Source organism: Homo sapiens, chromosome 4 (assembly GCF_000001405.40).
Source record: "Homo sapiens chromosome 4, GRCh38.p14 Primary Assembly".
Taxonomy (NCBI): domain Eukaryota; kingdom Metazoa; phylum Chordata; class Mammalia; order Primates; family Hominidae; genus Homo; species Homo sapiens.
In genome coordinates this window covers 171,486,774-171,509,203 of record NC_000004.12, presented here as the reverse complement: position 1 = coordinate 171,509,203, position 22,430 = coordinate 171,486,774, and the positions used below count along the sequence as shown (strand labels likewise).

Below are 22,430 nucleotides of genomic sequence, written 5' to 3'. Positions count from 1 at the left end.
AGCAGGAATCTACAGTTGAACGAAGTTTTGTGATTTTTTTTTGAATGGTAAGAATTTTATACATCATAGTAAAAACACACAAAAATACAAAACAAACTTCTATTTTCTCTTCTGCTTACCTCCTAATCAAGTTATTACTATATTTATGTCTTTTGTGTTCAATCCAAACTGCTAACAGCAGTCACTCACAGCTTACACATCCCCAGTGAAATAATTTACTTCTAAATCCACTTGGATCTAGTAAGTCTTTCTACAGCTAAAATAAATAAAGTCAGACTCAAAAACCAAAATATTTTTTAAATGAACTTTATGTTGGAAATTAACACAGTTTCCCACTTTATTAATATGGAAGTTATTTTTCTTTTGTATCTATTCTAACCTAAATTGTTATTTTAACATATTTTGACAACCATTTCTGTGAAAGACAAATGTTCATAGACACTAGAATAGTTTTATAAACAAAATGTGGTTTGTACAATTCAAGAAAGCATAATTTAGTGAGGGAGAATTGTAAACTCTTTTCAAACAACATAATAAAAATCTACATTTGAGGTATATAGAAGGATTCTTTGAGAATGTTGAAGAAGGCTAGCAAATACTTTCACAGATGAGGCTATAGTCTATTAGTTTCTGACCAGGAATACTATCAGTGGTGAAAGTAAAAAGTGAAAAAATTAGAGGTAAAAAATCAGAGGTAATAAACGTGAAAAGTGACCAAATATGGAGAATAAAGTACATTTTCAAAAGAAGGCTTGTCAGGTTTTTTATTTGGGGGAGTCAGTAATTGATTATTACATTAATGATAACAAGTGTTAAAGTAGGTCATAATGTATGTGTTAGTTTTGTGATAAAAATATTACAGTGAAAGAAATCAGAGCATTTTGTAAAATGTTTCAGTGGTTCATCACATTTTCAGAGTCCCTTAAAATCCTTTAATTTTACATTAATTTACATAATTATTTACCTAATAAAATCCAATATGTTTTTAGGATTTCTAATTTAATATTAATTTGCTTTGAATTTTTATATGTCCACTATATCTTTTAAAGAATAATCATGAGTAAAATGTAGGAGGATGTTTTAGTGGGAATAATTTTGTAAGTGTTATTGCATTGTTGAATTTTCATTTTGGGGGGAAGATTTATTTTCTTAGGCCATCTTTTTATGTCAGAGACTCAAATGAAGTATACTCAGATAATTATTGCCTATGGTTGAAGGAAAGGCCAAGTTAGCTACATAACAATGATATTCTATGTTTGGGGTAATACCAATTAAGTCTTCTTCATGTAGAAAATAATCCTTCATTGCTATTTTCTACTGCAGAGGGTACAGAGTTGGGGGCAGATGAAAAACTCATCCATGAATAGAATAGACCTCTAAAATACACATTAAAAAAGAAAAAGCCTCACATAAAAAACTCATAATAATGCCACTTAAAATTACTGTTAACAGGTTCAGTAAAATCCAAGTTGTATCAAGGTATCAGTAACAGGGTGAAGTGGAGGATATATTGAACATAAGCAACTCAAACACAGCAGTTGCAAAATAGAGACTTTTAAAAACTTTATAATAGACAGAAACACTGATAAATTATTCTACCGGAGTTTCTCCACTAGGTGCCACAGAGTTTAACAGTGATCAATAGTGAATTAACAATGTTTAAAAGTAATCTGCTCCTCATGTAGAGCATTGATCTAGGAAACCAAACTTTGCAATTAATCAGAAAAGACATTTGCATGTTTTGAACTGTAGGCCTAATATAATAATAGAATATAGATATAAAGTTAACTTTTCTTTTCTTGACTTAAACAACAGAAATATACTGTCTCAAATTTCTGGAGTGTAGGAGTCCAAAATCAAGAGGCTATCAGGGCTGCTTCTTTCTGAGAGCTGTGAGGGAAGGATCTGTACCAGGCCTCTCTCTTCCCGGTTTGTAGATGTCCCTCATCTCCTTGTGTCTTCACATCATTTTCCCTCTACATGTCTCTGTCCAAATTTGTCCTTCTTATGAGGACACCGGTCTTATTGACTCAAGGTCTACTCTAATGACCTCATTTTAACTTGATTACATTTATAAAAACCCTATCTCCCAATAAGGTCACATTCTGAAGTTCTGGAATTTAGGACTTCAATATATGAATGGGTTGCCTCAGGGCCAGTGGAGGCAGGCAATTCAACCGGTAACACCGAGGAACAGATTGGAGGAAATTTAAGGAAACAGGGCCACTAAATACAATGTGAGTTCCAAGACTGAGTTTTGGAGCAGAAAACAGATATTAGTGGTGAAACTGATGAAATCTGAGGAAGGTCTGTAATTTAACTAGCGGTGTTGTACTAAGGTTAATTTCTTAACTTTGATAATTGTATTATGGCTATATGAGATGTTAGCAGTGGGGAAAGCTGGGTGAGGAGTGTGTGGGAGTTAACTGTATTATTTTTGCAATTGCTCTATATACGACTAACTTTAAAAAGTAAAGACTTATTCAAGTTGATATTCTATGAAGTAGCTAAAAAGTTTTAAAAAGGGCCATCCTTTATAAACAGCAACAAAATGTGAAAAAATGAGTTAATTGTCTTACTCCCTAAAACCAAATTATCTAGATGTGTTGAAATTCATTCATTTTGCTGACAATTGTAAAGGAGGGCAAGAGGTAAAATACCTTTTTATTCAAATCAGGCAGTAAACATAAAGGCTTCCTAGAAAAATCTTACATATCCTATGTCAAATCCTACATTTCCCTCTTCAACTAATAAAAGCCTATCCATAAAATTAATGTGTTTGCTTCTTAGAGAAAAAGTTCAGATTGTGGTTAATAAAAGTAGTCACTTTCTATACTAGAGTGGTAACTTCATCAAGAGAACGAAGATAGCATGCCATTTACCTTTGGATTATATACAGGAGGCACTTAAGGTATGTGTGGTTTTTTTGGACAGGAGATCCTTATACAATAAATCTGACTTTTGAGGTACTTATTGAAAACCTGATCACAGTATTTCCTCTTATGTTTCATATGTCTCCCATTGTCTTTTCTGTCTTCTTTTTCACCTACTTTTCATTTTTAGTTGACAATAATTGACACAGATTTATGGGATATAGAGTGATACTTCAACACATGTATACTTGAGTGGTAATCAAATCAGGCTACTTCGCATCTCTATTACCTCAAATATTTATTTTTTATAGGTTGAGAACATTTAAAATCCTCTCTTCTAGCTTTTTTAAAAAATATATTAAATTATTGTTAAATTTATTAACCTTATAGTGCTTTCAAATACTAGAGCTTATTCTTCCTGTCTAACTATAATTTTGTATCCAGTAACTGGTCTCTCCATAATCTCCTCTCCTCCAGCCCTCTCATCTTCTAAAGAAAACAACACTGTTCTCTACTTTTATGACATCAACTTTTGTTTAGAACCCACACATTAATGAATACATGCAGTATTTGTATTTCTATGTCTGGATTATTTCACTTAACATGATGTCCTCTGAGCTTATATATTTTACCACAAAGGACACAATTTTATTCCTGTTGATGAGTATATCATTCTGTATATGTACCATATTTTCTGTATCCATTCATCCACTGATAAACATTTGGATTGATTCCATATTTAGGCTATAGTGAATAGTAGTGCAATAAACATGGGAAGGCATGTATCTCCTTGATATACTAATTTCTTTTCTTTGGCTAACTATGCAGCAGTGAGATTGCTGAATCATTTGATAGTTGTATTTTCAGTTTTGTTTTTTGTTTTGTTTTGTTTTATTTTTTGAGACGGAATTTTGCTCTGTTGCCCAGGCTGGAGTGCAGTGGTGCAATCTCGGGTCACTGCAACCTCCGACTCCCTGGTTCAAGTGATTCTCCTGCCTCAGCCTCCCGAGTAGCTGGGATTACAGGCAAGTGCCACCATGCCCAGCTAATTTTTGTATTTATAGTAGATATGGGGTTTCACCATGTTGGCCAGGATGGTCTTGATCTCCTGACCTCGTGATGCACCCTCCGTGGCCTCCCAAAGTGCTGGTATTTTGAGTTTTTGGAGAAACCTCCATTATGTTTTACATAATGGCTGTATTAATTTACATTTTCACCTACAGTGTATAAAAGATTCTTCTTACTCTGCATCTTTGCCAATATTAGTTATCTGTCTTTTTGATAATAGCCATTCTAACTGGGGTGAGATGATATTTTTCATGGTTTTGATCTGCATTTCCCTGATGATTAATGAGGTCAAGCATTTCTTCTCATATTTGTTGATCATTTGTATCTCTTCTTTTGAGAAACGTTTACTCAGATTCTTAGCCAATTTTTAATTGGATTTTTTTCTGTAGTTGAATTGTTTGAGTTCCTTGTATATTCTAGATATTTATCATTTGTTAGATGAATAGTTTGCATATATTTTCTCCCATACAATTGGTCATATCTTCACTCCATTCATGGTTTCCTTTGTTGTGCAAAAGTTTTTTAGTTTGGCACAGTCTCATTTGTCTAGTTTCATTTTTGTTATCTGTGCTTTTGAAGTCTTACTTATAAAATTTTTGCTTACCAATGTTCTCAAGCATCTCCCCTATGTTTTCTTTTGATAATTTCATAATTTTTAGGCTTATATTTAAATATTGAATATATTTTGAGTTGCTGTTTGTGTATGGTGAGAGGTAGAGGTCTAGTTTCATTCTTCTGCTTGTGATATCCAGTTTTCTCGACTTATTTAGGAGAGTGTTTTTCCCTTTTTGTATGTTCTTTACGTCTTTGTTAAAAATCAGTTGGCCGTAAATATATGAGTTTATTCCTGGATTATGTATTTGGATCCATTGGTTAATGTATCTTTTTTAACAATGCCATAATGTTTTGCTTACTGTAGGTTTACAGTATAATTTGAATTCAGGTATTAAGTTGCCTCCCGGTTTGTTCTTTTAAATCAGGATTGCTTTGGCTATTTGGGCCCCTTTTTGGTTCCACGTGAATTTTAGAATTGTTTTTCTATTTTTGTGAAACATGGCATTAGTACTTTGATAGGGATAGCATTGAGTGTGTAGATCACTTTGGACAGTATGATTATCTTTATAGTAGTCATTTTTTTAATCCATGGCCATAGGATGCCTTTTCATTTGCTTGTGTCCTTCAATTCTTTTCATCAGTTTTGTAGTTTTCATTGTAGAGATATTTTATTTCCTTAATTAAATTTATTCCTAGGTACTTTATTTCTTTCTTGTAGCTACGCGAAATAAGGTTATTTTAGTGATTTCATTTTCAACTAGTTTCTCATTGGTGTATAAAAATGGTGCTAATTTGTGTATGATAATTTTGTGTCCTGCAAGTTTGAATTTGTTCATTAGCTTTCAGAAGTTTTTTGTTTGTTTGTGTTTGGTAGAGTCATAAGATTTGTCTATATATAAGGTAATTTCATTTGCCAGCAGAAACAATCTCTTTTCTAATTTGGATATTCTTTTTTTTTTTTCTCTTGACTAAGGCTAGGTCTTCCCAAATTCTAGTTTGAATAATAGAGGGTAAAGTGGACACCATTGTCTTGTTCCAGTTCATACTCATTATGGTTTAGATCTATGTCACCACCAAAATCTCATGTTGAAATGTAATCTCTAATGCTGGAGGAGGGGCTTGACGGGAAGTGATTGAATCATGGGGACAGTTTCTAATGATTTAACATGATCCTCCTTATATCTTGTGAGATATTGTAGTACCTCCCCTCCTCTCTACCTCACACTCCAGCCATGTAAGACATGCCTGCTGCCCTTTCATCTTCCACAATGGTAGTAAGTTTCCTAAAGCATCCCCAGTAGCAGAAGCTGCTATGCTTCCTATGCAGCCTGCAGAACTGTAAGCCAATTAAACCTCTTTTTTTTGTAAATTACCCAGTATTGGATATTTATTTGTAGCAACATGAGAATGGACTAATACACTTATAATTATTTAGTATATTTTAGGTGTGAGTTTGTCATATATGATCTTTATTGTGTTGAGGTATTTTTTTCCTATACCTAACTTCTTAAACATTTTTATCATGAAAGAATGTTGAATTTTATCAAATTTTCTGCATCTATTAAGATGATCATTTCATTTTTGTCTTTAATTCAGTTAATGTGATGTATTACATTTATTCATTGACATGTGTTGATTCCTCCTTATATCCCTAAAACAAATCCCACTTGATTATGACATATTATCTTTTTGAGATGCTACTGGATTCAGTTCTATAATATTTTGTTGAGAAATTTTCCATATATGTTCATCAGGCATATTGGCTTTTGGTTTTCTTTTTTTATTGTCGTCTTGTATGATTTGGCATTAGGGTAATGCTGGACTTGTAGAATGAGTTAGGAGTGAGTTCCTTCTCTTCAAGTTTTTTGGGATAGAATTGGTTTTAGTTCTTTTTTTAAAATTTGGTAGAATTCAAAAATAAATTCTTGTGTTCCTGAGCTTTTCTTTGTTGGAAGTCTTTTTAATTACTCGTTCAATCTCATTACTATTTATTGGTTTGTTTAGGCTTCTTATTTCTTCCTATTTTAATTTTGGTTTATTTTATGTGTCCAGGAATTTATCCATTTCCTCTAGGTTTTTCAGTTTGTTGGTTTATGGTTGTTTTTATTGGTCTCTAATGGTCTTGTATTTCCGTGGTGTCAGTTGTAATGTCTCTTTTTTTCACTTCTGATTTTAATTACTTGAGTCTTTTTATTAGTTTAATAATGTGTCTATTTTATCTTTTCAAAAAATAACTTTGTTTTGATGATCTTTTGTATTTTTTTAGTCTCCATTTATTTCTGCTCTCATGTTTATTTCTTATTTCCTCCTACTAATTTAGGGTTTGGTTTGTTCTTTCTTTTTTAGTTTCATGAAGTATACTGTTAGGTTGTTTATTGAAAATCTTTCTACCTTTTTGTTGTAGGCATTTATTATAAACTTGCATGGTAATGCTGCTTAATCCTACAAAAGCAGTATTATGATACAAAACTTGTAACCCAGAGGTTTTAGTATGCTTTGTTTCTATTTTCATTTGATTCAAAAAATTTTTTAATATCCTTCTTAATTTCTTTTTTGACCCATTGGTCGTCATTCAGGAGCATGTTGTTGAATTTTCATGTAGTTGTATAGTTTCAACATTCCTTTAATTATTGATTTCTAATTTTATTCAATTGTAGTCTAGGAATAAACTTGATAAGATTTTGGTTTTTGAAAATTTGTTGAGAATTATTTTGTGACTTCACATATGGTTTCTTGATTCCTGGAAAATATTCCATATGCTGATGACAAGAATGAGTATACTGTAGCTGATGGATGAAATGTCCTGTAAATGTATGTTGGGTCCCTATCCTCTAAAATGCAGTTAAGTCCTATATTTCTTTATTTTTTTGCTAAATGGTCTATCTAGTGTTGACAGTAGGGTGTTGAACTCTCCAACTATGATTGTGTTGGAGTCTCTCTTCTTAGCTCTAGTAATATTTGCTCTATATATCTGAGTGCTCCAGTGTTAGGTGCATATATATTTATAATCTCTACATCCTCTTGCTGAGTTGATTTCTTTATTGTTATAAAATGAACTTAATTGTTTATTTTACCATTTTGATTTAAATACTATTTGATATAATTATAACTCCTTTTTTTTTACTTTTAGTTTTTGTTTGCATAGACTAACATTTTCCATCTCTTCACTTTTAGTCTATGTGTGTCTTTACAGATGAGGTGAGTTTATGGCAGGCCACATATAGTTGGGATTTGTTTTTTTAATCCATTCAGCTAGTCTATATTTTTAAATTAGAAGAACTATCTATTTGCATTCAATATTATTATTTATATGTGAGCGTTTGCTTTTGTCATTTTGTTAATTGTTTTCTGAGCTTTTTTGTATACCTTTTTTTTTTATTCTTTCTTTCTTATCCCTTATCTTTGCAGGTTGGTGGGCAGGTTTTTTTTTTGTAGTTATAGGGTTTGATTTCTTTCTCATTTGTGCACCTGCTCTACCAATGAATTTTATACTTTACTGTGTTTTCATGATGGTAATTATTGTACTTTATTTCTAGATGTATGGTTTCCTTAAGAAATTTCTTGTGAGGCTTGCCTAGTGGTAATGAATTTCCTCCAATTTAGCTTTTCTATGAAAGATTTTATTTCCCCTACATATCTGAAGAAGAACTTCGAAGAGTATAGTATTCTTGGTTACCATGTTTTTCCTTTTAGCTCTTTGAATATATCACCCCATTCTCTTCTGGCCTATATGGTTTCCTCTGGAAAATCTGCTCTCCTTCTAATGGAGTTTCTCTTTTATGGGGCTTGCTAAATTTTTGTTTGTTTTAGAATTCTTTTCTTGTTTTTGACTTTTGACAGTTTGACTATAATTTTCTTTGGAGAGGACTTTTTTGGGTTGATTCAATTTTGGATTCTTTGAGCTTCACAAATCTGCATGTCTATATCTCCCCCCAAATTTGGGAAATTTTCAGGTATTATTTTATTAAATAAATTTTCTATTTTATTTTTCCATCTTTCTCTCCTACTGGAATTCTCTTAATGTGAATACTTGTTTACTTAATGGTGTCCCAGAAATTTTGTAAGCTTTCTTCATTTAAAAACATTTCTTCCTCCTCTTCTTTTTTTCCTCTTCTTCCTTTTTGTCATCCTCCTTCTTCTCCTCTTACTCTTTCACTTCTTCTTTTGTCTGACTGAGTGATTTCAAAAGATATGTATTGAAGTTCAGAATGTCTTTGATCTGCTTGATCTGGTCTGTTGCTGAAGCTCTCAACTGAATTTTTTCATCATTTATTGAATTCTTCAGCTCTGATATATTTGTTTGGTTCTTTTTATGATATTTATCTGTTGAATATCTTATTCAGATCATTATTCTTTTCCTGATTTTATTGATTCATCTATATGTATTTCCTTTTATCTCACTGAGTTTCTTTAAAAATTAAAAATTCAAAAGTATTTCAAAATTATTTTAAAACACTTTTAGGCATTTTATAGATTTCCTTTACCTTGGGGACTGTTACTAAAGAACTGTTGTCTTTCCTTGAAAATGTCATGTATCCTAGCTTTTTCATGTTTCTTGTCACCCTAACATTGTTATCTGCACATCTGGTAAAAACAGTTGCCTCGTTCAATTTTATGAGCTAGCATTCCTAAGGGAGACTTTTTCCTCTAGATATATTCCATAGTGTTGGGTAGGGTGGTTTGGGTATGGTTCTAGATGCATGCAGTTATGCAGTCTCCTGTGATACTTTGGCTATAGTCTATGCCAGCAATATCTGCAAATGCCCCAGCTGCATAGACTGCCATTTTCTTTTCTTTTCTGTTCTTGTTCCTTTTTTTTTTTTTTGAAGGCAGTGGCATAGCTTTGCTGGGGGCATAGGATGCCAGATGGGCTGGTTCTCAGGCTCTGGAGAGGCTTGTGCCAGACATGTTGGCTCTGCTGGTCACAGAAACAGTGTCTTGGTCTGCTTGGCATTACCACAGAGGAAGACCTGAGGATGGATAATTTATAAAGAAAAGAGGCTTATATGGCTCACATTTCTGCAGGCTATACTAAAAGCATGGTGCTTGTATCTGTTTCTGGTGAGGGCTTCAAAGTGCTTCTACTCATTATGGAAGGCAAAGGGAAGCAGGCATCACATGATGAGGGAGAAAGAGGAAAGGAAGGGAGGTGCCAGGCACTTTCTAACAAACAGATCTCATGGGAACTAATAAAGTGAAAACTCACTTATACTATGACAGTGGCCCCAAGCTGGTTTTGAAATATTTTCCTCTATAATACAAACACCTCCTACTAGGCCCCACTTCCAACATTGGGGATAAAATTTCAACATGAGATTTGGAGGGAACAATTACCCAAACTCTATCAAGCAACTTCTATGGTAATGGCTAGCAGCAGGCAGGCTGGTTTCCAGTCTGTGAGGGGCAAGCATGGTGTACAGCAGTCCTTCATTTGAGGTGATGGGGTTACCAGTGATGGGGGGCACTGAATAGGCTGGTCATCAGGCTCTGGGCAGTATGTGAAGTGTGTTCATGGCCAATATCTTATTTTTCCTTTTCCACTGGAATCACTAGTTCTCTTTGTACCTGAGATACTCTGAGCAAATAGGAAAGGCTTCTAGTGACTCATATTATCTTTCTTTTAGTATCCTTTCATATCCCTACGTGCTGTTATCTATGGCCAAGTAGCTCGACCTCTAATGCTGCCCTTGATTTTGATAAAAATCAAATTCCTTTTGGTGAAAAGAGGAAAATGCTGTAATAAGAACAGTTATTATTATTTTGAATCTCAAAGTAGAAACATCATACTAAAAAAAGACTAAGTGCAATGCAGAATTGGGGGTGTTGGTTTGGGATAATGTATTGGCAGTCACCTAGTCACACAAGCTTTCAATAATTTACTTCTCCTAAAATGTGTGCCTGGAGTCTAGTGAGAACAGCAGTTGTAGTCAGAGCTGAATTGGCTGGCTGTTTATAGCAGCATCTACCATCACCCAAAGAGCAAATAACACTCAAAACTTTCATATCTACTAACAAAACATTGAAGTGGATCAACCACAGAGCCATGAAAAGTCTTTACAAAGTAATATCAGCCAATTTTTAAAATTGTGCCCTTGTTTTTTATTAATAAAACCCCTTTGCTTCTGTAAAAGGGATTCAGAATTATTATTCTCATTTTCAGGAATTGTTATAGAAAAATTATCTACAAACTTCTGGGGTAAAAGAGAAGTAAATTATCAAAACTTGTTTTACATGAAAGCTTATGCAGCAGCTCAACATATAAAATAGGTAAATGCAAATCTATTCTGTTTGAATCCAAGGTTAAAAGCTAATAATCATGCTACCCAACCCCCTACACTCTTACTTCCCACCCCCACCATGTCTCATCCAGGAATTCCACCAAGAACAGATCAAAAACCTTTTTTAAGGTCAGGTGCAGTGGCTTACACCTGTAATCTTAGCACTTTGGGAGGCCGAGGTGAGAGGATCCTGACTTGAGATCAGGAGTTTGAAACCAGCCTGGCCAACCTGGTGAAACCCCATCTCTATTAAAAATACAAAAAAAAAATATTAGCTAGGTGTGGTGTTGGACACCTGTAATCCCAGCTACTCAGGTGGCTGATGTAGGAGAATCACTTGAACCTGGGAGGGGGAGGTTGCAGTGAGCCAAGATTGTGCCACTGCACTCCAGCCTTGGTGATAGAGTGAGACTCCATCTCAAAAAACAAACAAAAAACCAAACAACCTTATTTAAAGCAACTTCATTTGTCATATAGCCATCCACATGTACCTCTTAATAGGTAAAATAGTTGTCAGACTTCCTAATAATCCTGAAATTGAAGCCCAGTGCTCTTGAGTTCTAGTTCAACATATTCCTGCTAAACGGTGCAACTCTTTACATTTTAAGTTGCTGAGTCAAGGAAAGAAAGTTGATTTTAAATACAAATTATTTAAAATGAAAAAGACACTTGGGTAGAGAAATCATTGTTTCTGCTTTTTCATTTCTGTATTCTGTTCATCACTACTTCAAAGTCAAACATTGCAAAGTTAAAGGTTATTAATCGTTGAGTTCACAGAATGTCTCTTTGTCTGAAGATAATTTCCCATTGAGAAGAGTTTGTCTTTGTTGTCTTGCTTTTTCAATAGCATCTTCTGACAGGAAGTTGATCCTGGGAATATCGTTAAAATTGACTATAGCTGGGAAATGTGATTCTCAGCATTTTCCTAATGACAGCTAAGGACTGATGTTTGCAATGGGATTTTACTCAATAATTTCTATCCCATTGGCATGAAAATTGTTACTGATAAATGCCACATTTATTTCTCCGAACTTTGCAACTGTGTATCTATGAGCTTTAGAATTGCTTATAAATAATTCTTGATGCATTCCCTGGTTTCTTTAGTATCTCTTTGGTGATTCAGTGATTGCATTAGAATGCAGAGACTCACCTCCAAATTTATTCAAAAACCAAAGTAAAATGCTATTCCTTCAAAGGTCAAATATGCTGATGGAAGGAAGTTAGTATAAGACTTTCAAAAATGTCTTGTAAGGCATAAGAACAAATCAGACTTTGCCATGTTAAATTTAATATCAAAAATATAAATAATAGTTTAACTTTTTTACAGAATGCAAAATCCTATGGGAAAAAACAAATTAAAAAATGAGAAAATATTAACATTAACATTAAAAAACTCAATAAACCTATTAAAAAATCTAATGTTCCCTTCTGTCATAACTTAACTATTTTGCAGGCTGTTAACACACTTTGTCCTGTATGGCAAAATTGCATAGAGAAATACACACTTTACATACATGTTTTGATAGACTTGACTCTCTCTTGGTCTCATTTCTATGACTTTAGACAAAAGCAATCTTGGAAAAATTCTGAAGTAAAAAAATCTCTGAAGCTATTTGAGATTAATTGCCTTGGAAATTTTAAATATAGATCCTTTGATCATCAGCCTAAATAAATGGAAAATAAAGCATATTAAGTTGCCTTATCATTCCCTAAGGCTTGTGTCTAAAACTTTCTTACTTGAAAGAGTAGAAATGTGAGAACAAAGAGATTAAGAATAATTCTATAAACTAGACCCACATTTCTTAATGATGGGCTAGAGATGCTGCTAAGTGGAAAACCAAATAACAAAAACAATATCTAGTTCTCAAAATACCACCTGTTTTCTAAGCTTTAGATGCCCCAAATGTAGACAATTCAAAATGTAAAAAGGCTACCATATCAACATGGAATGCTGGCCTGTGGGTTTGTGTGACTTATTCAAGGTCCCACTTATCTCCTTCTTTTCCTGGTCTGTGCTACAAGTAGATTCTTAATTCCAACATCATGTAAGTGGGAAATTTGCAAAATGAAAGCACACATTTTCATTTTCACATCAAACATAAAGCAACAGTGTCAGAGAGACTACCCCCACCTTTGGGCATTTTGTAAATTCTTGATGGTATTTTTATTTCACAGGACAGTAGATACAGGATGGTGTATCTTAGGTGAGTGAGGCTCAATGGGCAGTCGACTGGCCCTTTCCTCCAACATGTGAAGTAGTCATCATCCTATTGTATGTTGTGTGAGTGTTGAGTGTCCTGGCAGAAAGATATGGAGGAAAAACTGCTTTATGATTGATTATCTAAGACTGGCATCTAACTTTGTTTTGCATGTAAATCAAAAATATCTAAGAATTTTAGAGTGTTAAGAGCAAAGATTTCAGAACTAGATTATTAGGATTTAAAATCTGAATTTGTCACTAGCTGTGTAACCATGAACAAGATTCCTATCTTCTCTCTGCATTGGTTTTCCTATTTGTAAGACTGTGATGATAAATGACACCATCAGGTTGATGTGAAGAGAAAATGTAAGGAACCTAAAATAGTGCTTTTCAGACAATAAGCGTTCTGTAAGCCTTGGCTATGTTTTAACATTTTGTAACAGGGAAATAACATGTAAATCAGGGGAAAATTGTACTTTTTTCCAAACTTTATTAATCTTTATATATACTATATAAAATAGACATACCTACAATGATACAACAGTCGCTTTTAGTGTTTAAATCACCAACAGTAAACAAAGGTACCTTTTTGTTATTTGGCAATCTCCGCTGAATGAAGAGAATGCCTCCTCTGCCACCCCAGAGATTTATGAATGTTGAGTGTAATGACATATGAGTGCCAGGATCTAATGTTTATTGCACACATAGTAAAAAGGAAATGAGTCCAACGAGATAGACTCAGTCTGAAGAGAAACAATAGCAAAAGGAGACAAATGGCTTGGAGTTTTTATTCCAGTTAGAGAATGGAGCCCAGATGGAGGTTCTCTGCTGTTATTTGAATTTTGACTTATGACATGGGGCAGAGGGTTTGTTCCAGGGGTGAGGGGTGTGAATGGGGGTGAGGGATCTTATTAGATTACCCAAATATGGGGAAAGGAGAGGGGTAGCAATTTGAAAGCTGTCAAATTTCTCACATCGGATATGGAATCTTCATTTTATTATAGTATCTTTCAGTATTTGCACCACTTACAGTAATTCTATTTCAAATTGTAGGCATCTCACCACTTCAATATAACCTTTAATGTAATTATGTCTCATGTTTACACTGATCACGATTATATATTTTTGGGCATATATGCCCTTATATTTATGCCATTATTTTGGTTTATGTTACTTATGTAGGTAAGCTATGGAATATGTGAATTTCATTTTAAGACAGGAAACAATGTTATAAAATGATTGTTAGTAAAAAATGTTGCTAAGTCTTCTTTGGGTTTGAGAATTTCTTAATTAAAATTTGGATTTTTCTGAGACTTAGAAAAATGAGTAGGCAGTTATAGGAAAAGCTAAAGGAAAATTAATGAATAATAATTGTAATAAAATGATTCACCAAATGATATTTATTATCTCCATTTTTAATACATATCTATACTTACCTATATTCAGATGGATTTGGAGGAAGATGCTACATTCTGAATCATTCAAGGAAGGACCTTGACTGAACAATATATCTGCAAACTAAGAAAAAAGGAAAAAAGAAAAATAAGTATATACCAGATGGCTTCCGTAAACCCAGCTGGTGATCCATGAGTCTGGAGGCCTTCAGCTGCATTAACTGCTTTAAATTTTTTAATTAATTTCTTTAAGGAATTGATTTACAACCACTGAGAACTGCTGTGTAGCAACCAAGATGTCATATCACAAATAACTACAGAAAATACACTTTAGAATCAACAAACTGCAAAATGCAGGGGAAGGAAAAGCACTGATAAAGAAATTCTATTTACTCAGGAATGTAGAGGGATAGAACTAATTGGTCTCCATTGAAAGCCAAAATATCTGTATAATGGCATTCTAAACAGAAAAGTTCAGATGTTTTACATTCATCAGAAATCTGATTGTAAACACCATTTTGGTTGGGTAGTGGGTAAAGATAATGACATTTTTACAGCTAAAAGTTTTCCACTTATTGGAAGTTGGTTTTAATGAAGGGTATCAGACACAATGCACTACTTAGTCAGATTTTTAAAAAGTTACTGTAAATAGCAAGCATATTTTCAATATGAATGCTAAAGACAGGTAGGGTTATTTTTTATTGTGCATATTTCTGTTCAATTGCATCTCTCCAGGAAAGGAAAATTATTTACCAGTGAATCTGAGTGAATTTCAGAGGATCCTTCATCTACTGGTGCAGCAAAGAGTAGACGTTCTGTAGGTTGGCATTTAGTTACTTGTAATTAAAAAACAATATGTCTGTTAAAAGATCTCTGCATTTTATGACATCTCTTTATCATAAATAAATGTAATACTTGTTTCTTGAAAACATTCTATCCTTACTGCTAGTTTCAAGTCTTCCTAAGGACCCAGGTGATTCAACAAGGAGGCAAAGGATCCATTTAACTATATAAATAAAGTTGTAAAGGAAATGTTTGCATAAGTGCAACTCAAAAGATTTTAAACCTCTGTCCCTGCTTTGTTCTTCTTCCTTTCTTTCTTTCTTTCTTTAGATTCCATTTCTACAATCAGCGTTTTTGCGTTTTTTGTTTTGTTTGTTTGTTTGTTTGTTTTTGAGGCAGAATCTTGCTCTGTTTCGCCATGTTGGCCAGGCTGGTCTTGAACTCCTGACTTCAGGTGATCCACCGTCCTCGGCATTCCAAAGTGCTGGGATTATAGGCATGAACCACTGTGCCCAGCCTATAATCAGCTTTTAAATTATTCTCTAGTTCATTTTTCTACCTTGAAATAGCTTTTTAGCCACGAATATCTTTAGAATATTTTACGAAGTATATGGGAAAAGGAGGGCATAATCTTTAGGTTTAAAATAGCACCTTATATCACTCCTTGATGAAACTTCCCTAAAATTAGAGTTAAATTACTCTGGAGGAGGGATACACAGCAGAAGAAAAAAAATAGAAAGAAAATAATTCACAAACAGCAAAAAATTCTAGATTAAATTTTCTAACTTTAGAAATAATTTACTTCAAATTTCTAAAAAAATTAATGCAAACATATTGTGAAATAGAAAAGTAGGTTCATGATTTGATTATTATAATTAATATTATGGGTTAATCACCTCAGGTCAGGAGTTCAAGACCAGCCTGGAGAACATGGTGAAAGCCCATCTCTACTAAAAATACAAGAAATTAGCTGGGCTTGGTGGCCTGTAATCCCACCTACTCGGGAAGCTCAGGCAAGAGATACGCTTGAACCCAGGAGGTGGAGGTTGCAGTGAGCCAAGATCACACCATTGCACTCCAGCCTGGGCAACAAGAGGAAAATTCCATCTCAAAAAAAAATAATTAATTAATTTAAAGAAAAGAAGAAGATGATGATGGAGAGAGGGCGGGTAGAAAGATATGTGGTCTGCCTTACACTATGTATTTCTTATATTAGAGATAAATACTGTGCCACAGAAAACTGGGTAGCCATCTTTATATCGCATAGCAAGTACTCCTAGGGGCGGACTTCGTCTCTAAATCATTTAGTCTAGAGAAAGTAAAAAGTAGCTCTAGTAACCAGAACCTTGCCTGTCATCATTAGCCAGACCTTGGTGTTTCAGGGACCCAGCCTGCCTACCACCCTTAGGCCATAATATTCTATGACTGAATATCAGTTATTCACTGAACACCAACAGCAGACAAGGCCACTCTGTGACTGTGATGGATCAAGACGGCAATAGGACAACTCCATATTCATACTAAAGACCAGATATATTGCAAACAACAAAAGTGGCCAAATACCTCTTTCTCTGGTTAATATGATTGTTGCTTCTTTACTAATTACAGATTAAGTTTCGTTTCATTCTTTCTTTCCAGATTTAATTAATACACCTACTTACAGAATTACTCCTATTATACTTTATACAAGCTATGCATCCCACCTCCTTTAACCCTCTCCCAGTGTGGCACAGTGGCTCACTCCTATAATTTTAACTCTCTGGGAGGCTGACGCAGGAGGATTACTTGATGCTAGGAGTTTGAGAACTTTCTCCCAATCACCTACCCTAAGCTCAATTTTGATAATACTTTTTGCTTATGCTTCCTGTGAAGATAGACAAAGGCCAACCGAAAAAGAAAAGAAAAGAAAAGAACAAGCATTAGCTATTTATTCAGAGCATACTACAGCAAGGGAGTCAGTCACTATCCCTTGCCTTTTGATAAAGATTCAAAGGCAGACAGAAGAGTGGGAAAGATTTATTGTGGAAAAAAGGCAAGGCTCCACGTGAGCCCTGATTGAAGGCTGTTGCTACAGGGAGTCCGTCGGAAGATAACTAAAAGGAAGGCATGTGATTGGTAAGGGATGCATATTTAGCATTCTCTAGGTGGTCCTAAGTTGGGAGTGGAGACAAATGTGGGGAGCTTACTTATTAACAAATCCTGGATATTTGGGGGCTGATTGTTACAGGGGTTATTGCTTAGTTCCCTGGGTTTTTGCTCCGGTTTGTGTTCTGACTTCCTATTAGTCTGACATTATATATATCTATCAATATATCTAATCTATATCTATATATCTGTATCTATATATCTATATCTATATATCTGTATCTATATATCTATATCGATATATCTATAACTAGTAGTCTGGCTTCCAGGGGTGCTTATTTTAGAGAATGTTTTTATTTCCTGACCTAGTTGCTACAGATTGTGAGTGAGAGTTCCAATTTGTAATATGGACTGGCCATCATCCATTTATATATTCAGTCCCTCATTTATTTCTAATATTATTTTAATGAGTTACCCCCATTCTCTATAGTATATAAACTATTTAGACACACATGTATGAACAAAATGCTAGCAGTGTTGTTTAGTGAAAAACAACAAAACAAAATATCTAGTATGCTGTCTGCGAAAACTTCAAATGCCCTGGAGTGTCGACATTTTAAAAAGATTGAGACTACTACCTGACACGGAAATGCTACTTGTTTTCATAGCTTTGGGTTTTTGTTACTTTCTTAAGTTCATACTTGCCTGCTATTCATTATCTGTTCTACAAATAGGTCTTTGATATCTGTATAATAGAAATGGGCAATTTGCAGGATTTTTATTCCACACTTTTATTTTCACATAAAATGCAAGGCAACAATCTCAAATAAAGAACTGCTTCTACTTTGGGGAATTTTGTACATTCTTGGTGGCACTTTTGGCTTCACAAATTCTTGGTAGTATTTTTGGGTAGTTCCACATGCATATCCTACCGGCTATAATAAACCAATCAATCCACATTTGTTTGACTACAGGTATATTTCAGGTTACTTTTGGCTGGAGATCTTTGACAGAGTGGAGGTTCACTGTGATTCCATTAAGATCCTTGTGGCCTTAGACTAGGACTCTCAAGCCAATAAGAGTGAACACATCTGATCTCTCTTGAGTCTCTACCTGATCAAGGTGCCAACCTGCCCATGGTTGGGCGGTACTTTCATGATGAATTCTGTTCTAATATTCAATTGGGGCCTTTTAGTTTTAGGTTGATTTTGTTAGATTTCCTATGCGACAATCGACCTTTGGCAAAGTTCTGGAGATAAGAAGTTGTATATTTTTACAGACTGCCGTGGTTCTTATAGATCCTCTCAGGACAAAACTATACCTTTTGCAAGGTAAACACTTGTTCACTTTAGAATTCCTCACTAACAAATTAACTTACGTACATATTTCTCTAACTGTCAAAATTTCCACACTGTATTAGTCCATTCTCACACTGCTAAAAAGAACTGCCTGAGACTGGGTAATTTATAAAGGAAAGAGCTTTAACTGACTCACAGTTCTGCATGGCTGGTGGGGGCATCAGGAAACTTACTATCATGGCAAAAGGCAAAAGAGAAGCAAGCTTGGATCTTCTCACCTGGTAGCAGGGGAGAGAATATGAAGAACGAAGGAGGAAGAGCCCCTTATAAAACCATCAGACCTTGTGAGAACTCATTCACTATCATGAAAACAGCATGGGGGAAACTGACAACATGATCCAATCACTTCCCACCAGGTCTCTCCTTAGACATGTGGAGATTGTAGGAATTACAATTCAAGATGAGATTTGGGTGGTGACACAGCCAAACCATATCATTCTGCCCCAGCCCCTCCCAAATCTCATGTCCTCACAGTTAAAAACACAATTATACCTTTCCAATAGTCCCCCAAAGTTTTAATTAATTCCAGCATTAACTCAAAAGTCCAACTGGAAAGGCTCACCTGAAGAAGCAAGTCCTTTCTGCCTGTGCTCCTGCAAAATCAAAAGAAAGTTAGTTCCTTCCAAGATACAATGGGGATATGGGTATTGGATAAATGCTCCCATTCCAAGTGGGAGAATTTGGACAAAACAAAGGGGTTAATAGACCCCATGCAAGACCAAAATCCAGTGGGGCAGTCATTAAATATTAAAGCTCCTAAATAATTTCCTTTGACTCCATGTCTGACATCCAGATCACACTGATGTAAGAGGTGGGTTCTCACAGTCCTGTGCAGCTCCACCCTGTGACTTTACAGGATACAGCCCCCACCCAGCTGTTTTCACACGCTAGCATTGAGTGTCTGTGGCTTTTCCAGGAGCATGGTGAAAGCTATTGGTGGATCTAGCATTCTGTGGTCTGGAGGATGGTGGCCTTCTTTTCACAGCTCCATTGGGAAGTGCCCCAGTGGGGACTCTGTGTTGGATCTCCAACCCCACATTTCCCAAATCCACTGTCCTAGCAGAGGTTCTCCATGAGTGCTCCACCCCTGTGACAAACTTCTGCCTGGGCATCCAGGCATTTCCATACATCCTCTGAAATCTAGGCAAAGGTTCCCAAACCTCAATTCTTGACTTCTGTGCCCCTGCAAGCCCAACACCACCTGGAAGCCAACAAAGCTTGGGGCTTGCACCCTCTCAAGCAATGGCCTGAGTGGTATGTTGGCCCCTTTTAATCATAGCTAGGATTCAGGGCACCAAGTCTCAAGACTGCACAAAGCAGCAAGGCCCTGGGCTCAGCACCTGAAACCTTGTTTTCCTCTTGGGCCTGTGATGGGAGGGGCTGCTGTGAAGACCTCTGAAATGTCCTGGAGACATTTTCTCCATTGTCTTGATGACGAGCATTTGGCTCCTCATTACTTATGCAAATTTCTGCAACAGGCTTCACTATCTCCCCAGAAAATGTGTTTTTCTTTTCTATCCCATCATCAGGCTGTAAATTTTCCAAACTTTTATGCTCTGCTTCCCTTTTAAACATAAGTTCCAATTTCAGATAATGTCTCTCAAGTTTGAAGTTCCACAGATCTCTAGAGCAGGGGCAAAATGCCACCAGTCTCTTTGGTAAAGCATAGCAAGAGTGACCTTTGCTCTAGTTTCCAATAAGTTTGTCATGTCCATCTGAGACCACCTCAGCCTGGATTTCATTGCCCATATCACTATCAGCATTTTGGTCAAAACCATTCACCAAGTCTCTAGAAAGTTCCAAACTTTCCCACATCTTTCTGTCTTCTGAGTGCTCCAAACTGTTCCAAACTCTGCCCATTACCCAGTTCCAAAGTCACTTCCACATTTTCTGGTATCTTCATAGCAGTGCCCTACTCCCAATATCAATTTACTCCATTAGTCCATTCTTACACTGCGATAAAGAACTGTCCAAGACTGGGTAGTTTATAAAGGAAAGAGGTTTGATTGACTCACAGTTCTGCATGGCTGGGAGGCCTCAGAAGACTTACTATCAAAAGGAGAAGGGGAAGAAGGCTTGGACCTTCTTACCTGGCAGCAAAGGACAGAGTATGAGGAGCAAAGTGGGAAGAACCTCTTATAAAACCATCAGGTCTGGGCCAGGCACAGCAGCTCACACCTGCAATCCCAGCACTTTGGGAGGCTGAGGCGGGTGGATCAACTGAGGTTAGGAGTTTGAGACCAGCCTGGACAACGTAGCAAAACCCTGTCTCTACTAAAAATACAAAAATTAACCAGGCGTGGTGGTGCACCCCCATAGTCCCAGCTACTGGGGAGGCTGAGGTGAGAGAATCACTTGAACCCAGGAGGCACAGGTTGCAGTGAACCGAGATAGTGCAACTGCACTCCAGCCTGGGCAACAGAGCAAGACTCCCTCTCAAAAAAAAAAAAAAAAAAAAAGCACACACATACACACACACATCAGATCTTGTGAGTATTCACTACTGTCATGAGAACAGCATGGAGGAAATTGCCCCATAATCTAATCATGTCCCTCCCTCAATACGTGGGGATTACAACTTGAGATGAAATTTGGGGACAGAGCCAAGCCATATTAAACACTGAGAGTTTAGATATGTAGTGGCATTTTGAGAACATTTTGATATAAAAAACAACTTTGAGAGATGTCCTCTGACTAAAAGATAAGACATCCTCCAGAGAAGAATGTCTTTTCTGTTCAAATGAAAGAGTTCATTGGTTTAACATAAGAGACACTCCTGCTCTTTGATTCCATACTTCAGGAATTAAGTGATGGTTTGATGAAATTGTCAAAAAATTGAATTACTATTTAAAACAACTGTAATGCCTCTCATCCATTAATGTATATATCCAGATTATTTTTTAATCTAAAGTTTCTACCTTCAACTTGCAGAGGAAATATAATTTGTCTCTTACAGTAATATTCGTATTTGTTTGAAGCTTACCATATCTCACTTATGTTTCTTTTTTCGCATCTCTATTTTGTATTCTCCTTCTATTAGTAAACCTTGAAGATGAATTAACTAGAAAAAAAATGACTTCTGTCATTACGTGAGCACTCTAGGTATCAAGATTATCAAGATAATGAAGATTATCAAGATATCAAGATAATCATTCATAATGTCAAAATAAAAGAAATAAAATATATTCAAAGGTTTGTGTTTCTTTTGTGGGTAGTGAAAATAGTATTTACATAATAGCCTTTGTTTCTATAGTTACAAGGTAAAGAGGAAAAGCCTTGGTAACAAGATTTTTTTTTTTAAAAAGGAGCATGATGTTCTTTTTAATTTATGACATAAATTAGGTTCTTTAAAATGTAGCTTACCATATAAAAATAATGTCATCATAATATTTTGATTTGCACAAGAACAGGGCTTAATTCTTACAATGCTACAAATAATAGAAGTATAACATGTTTGCTAAAACTATCATTTCCACATTTTTAAGGAACTTTAAGAACTTAGACAAAAGATTTACTTAATTATGAAATAATTTTTACATACATGGATGATTTCTAAGTAAGAAGCTCATACAAAACGCTGGCCACTAAACACAGTTTTAATATATTCTTATTTCTTATAATATAATATGCAAAATAATATTTTAATATGTAAATTATATTGCATATTCAATAATGCATCTATACACGTAAAATTTGTTTATTTTCCTACCTCAAACTTTAAAAAATAATTTGAAATAAATATTTATAGTAAAAAAAGCTAAATTGTACTCCAGTTTTCTCTCATATCTCGAGAGAAAATAAGGTTGTTACTTGGCTTAAAGGTAATAATTAATATA

The 22,430-nt window shown here is 35.1% G+C and overlaps 1 long non-coding RNA gene across 1 annotated transcript in view; it reads right to left on the bottom strand.

The window, feature by feature from the left end:
* Positions 1–15,154, bottom strand: part of LOC105377535 (uncharacterized) — a 92,939-nt gene extending 77,785 nt beyond the window's left edge. The window contains exon 1 of the long non-coding RNA XR_939444.2: positions 14,411–15,154. This is a non-coding gene — a long non-coding RNA (uncharacterized LOC105377535). The remainder of the gene's footprint in view (positions 1–14,410) is intronic.
* Positions 15,155–22,430: the final 7,276 nt, after the last annotated feature.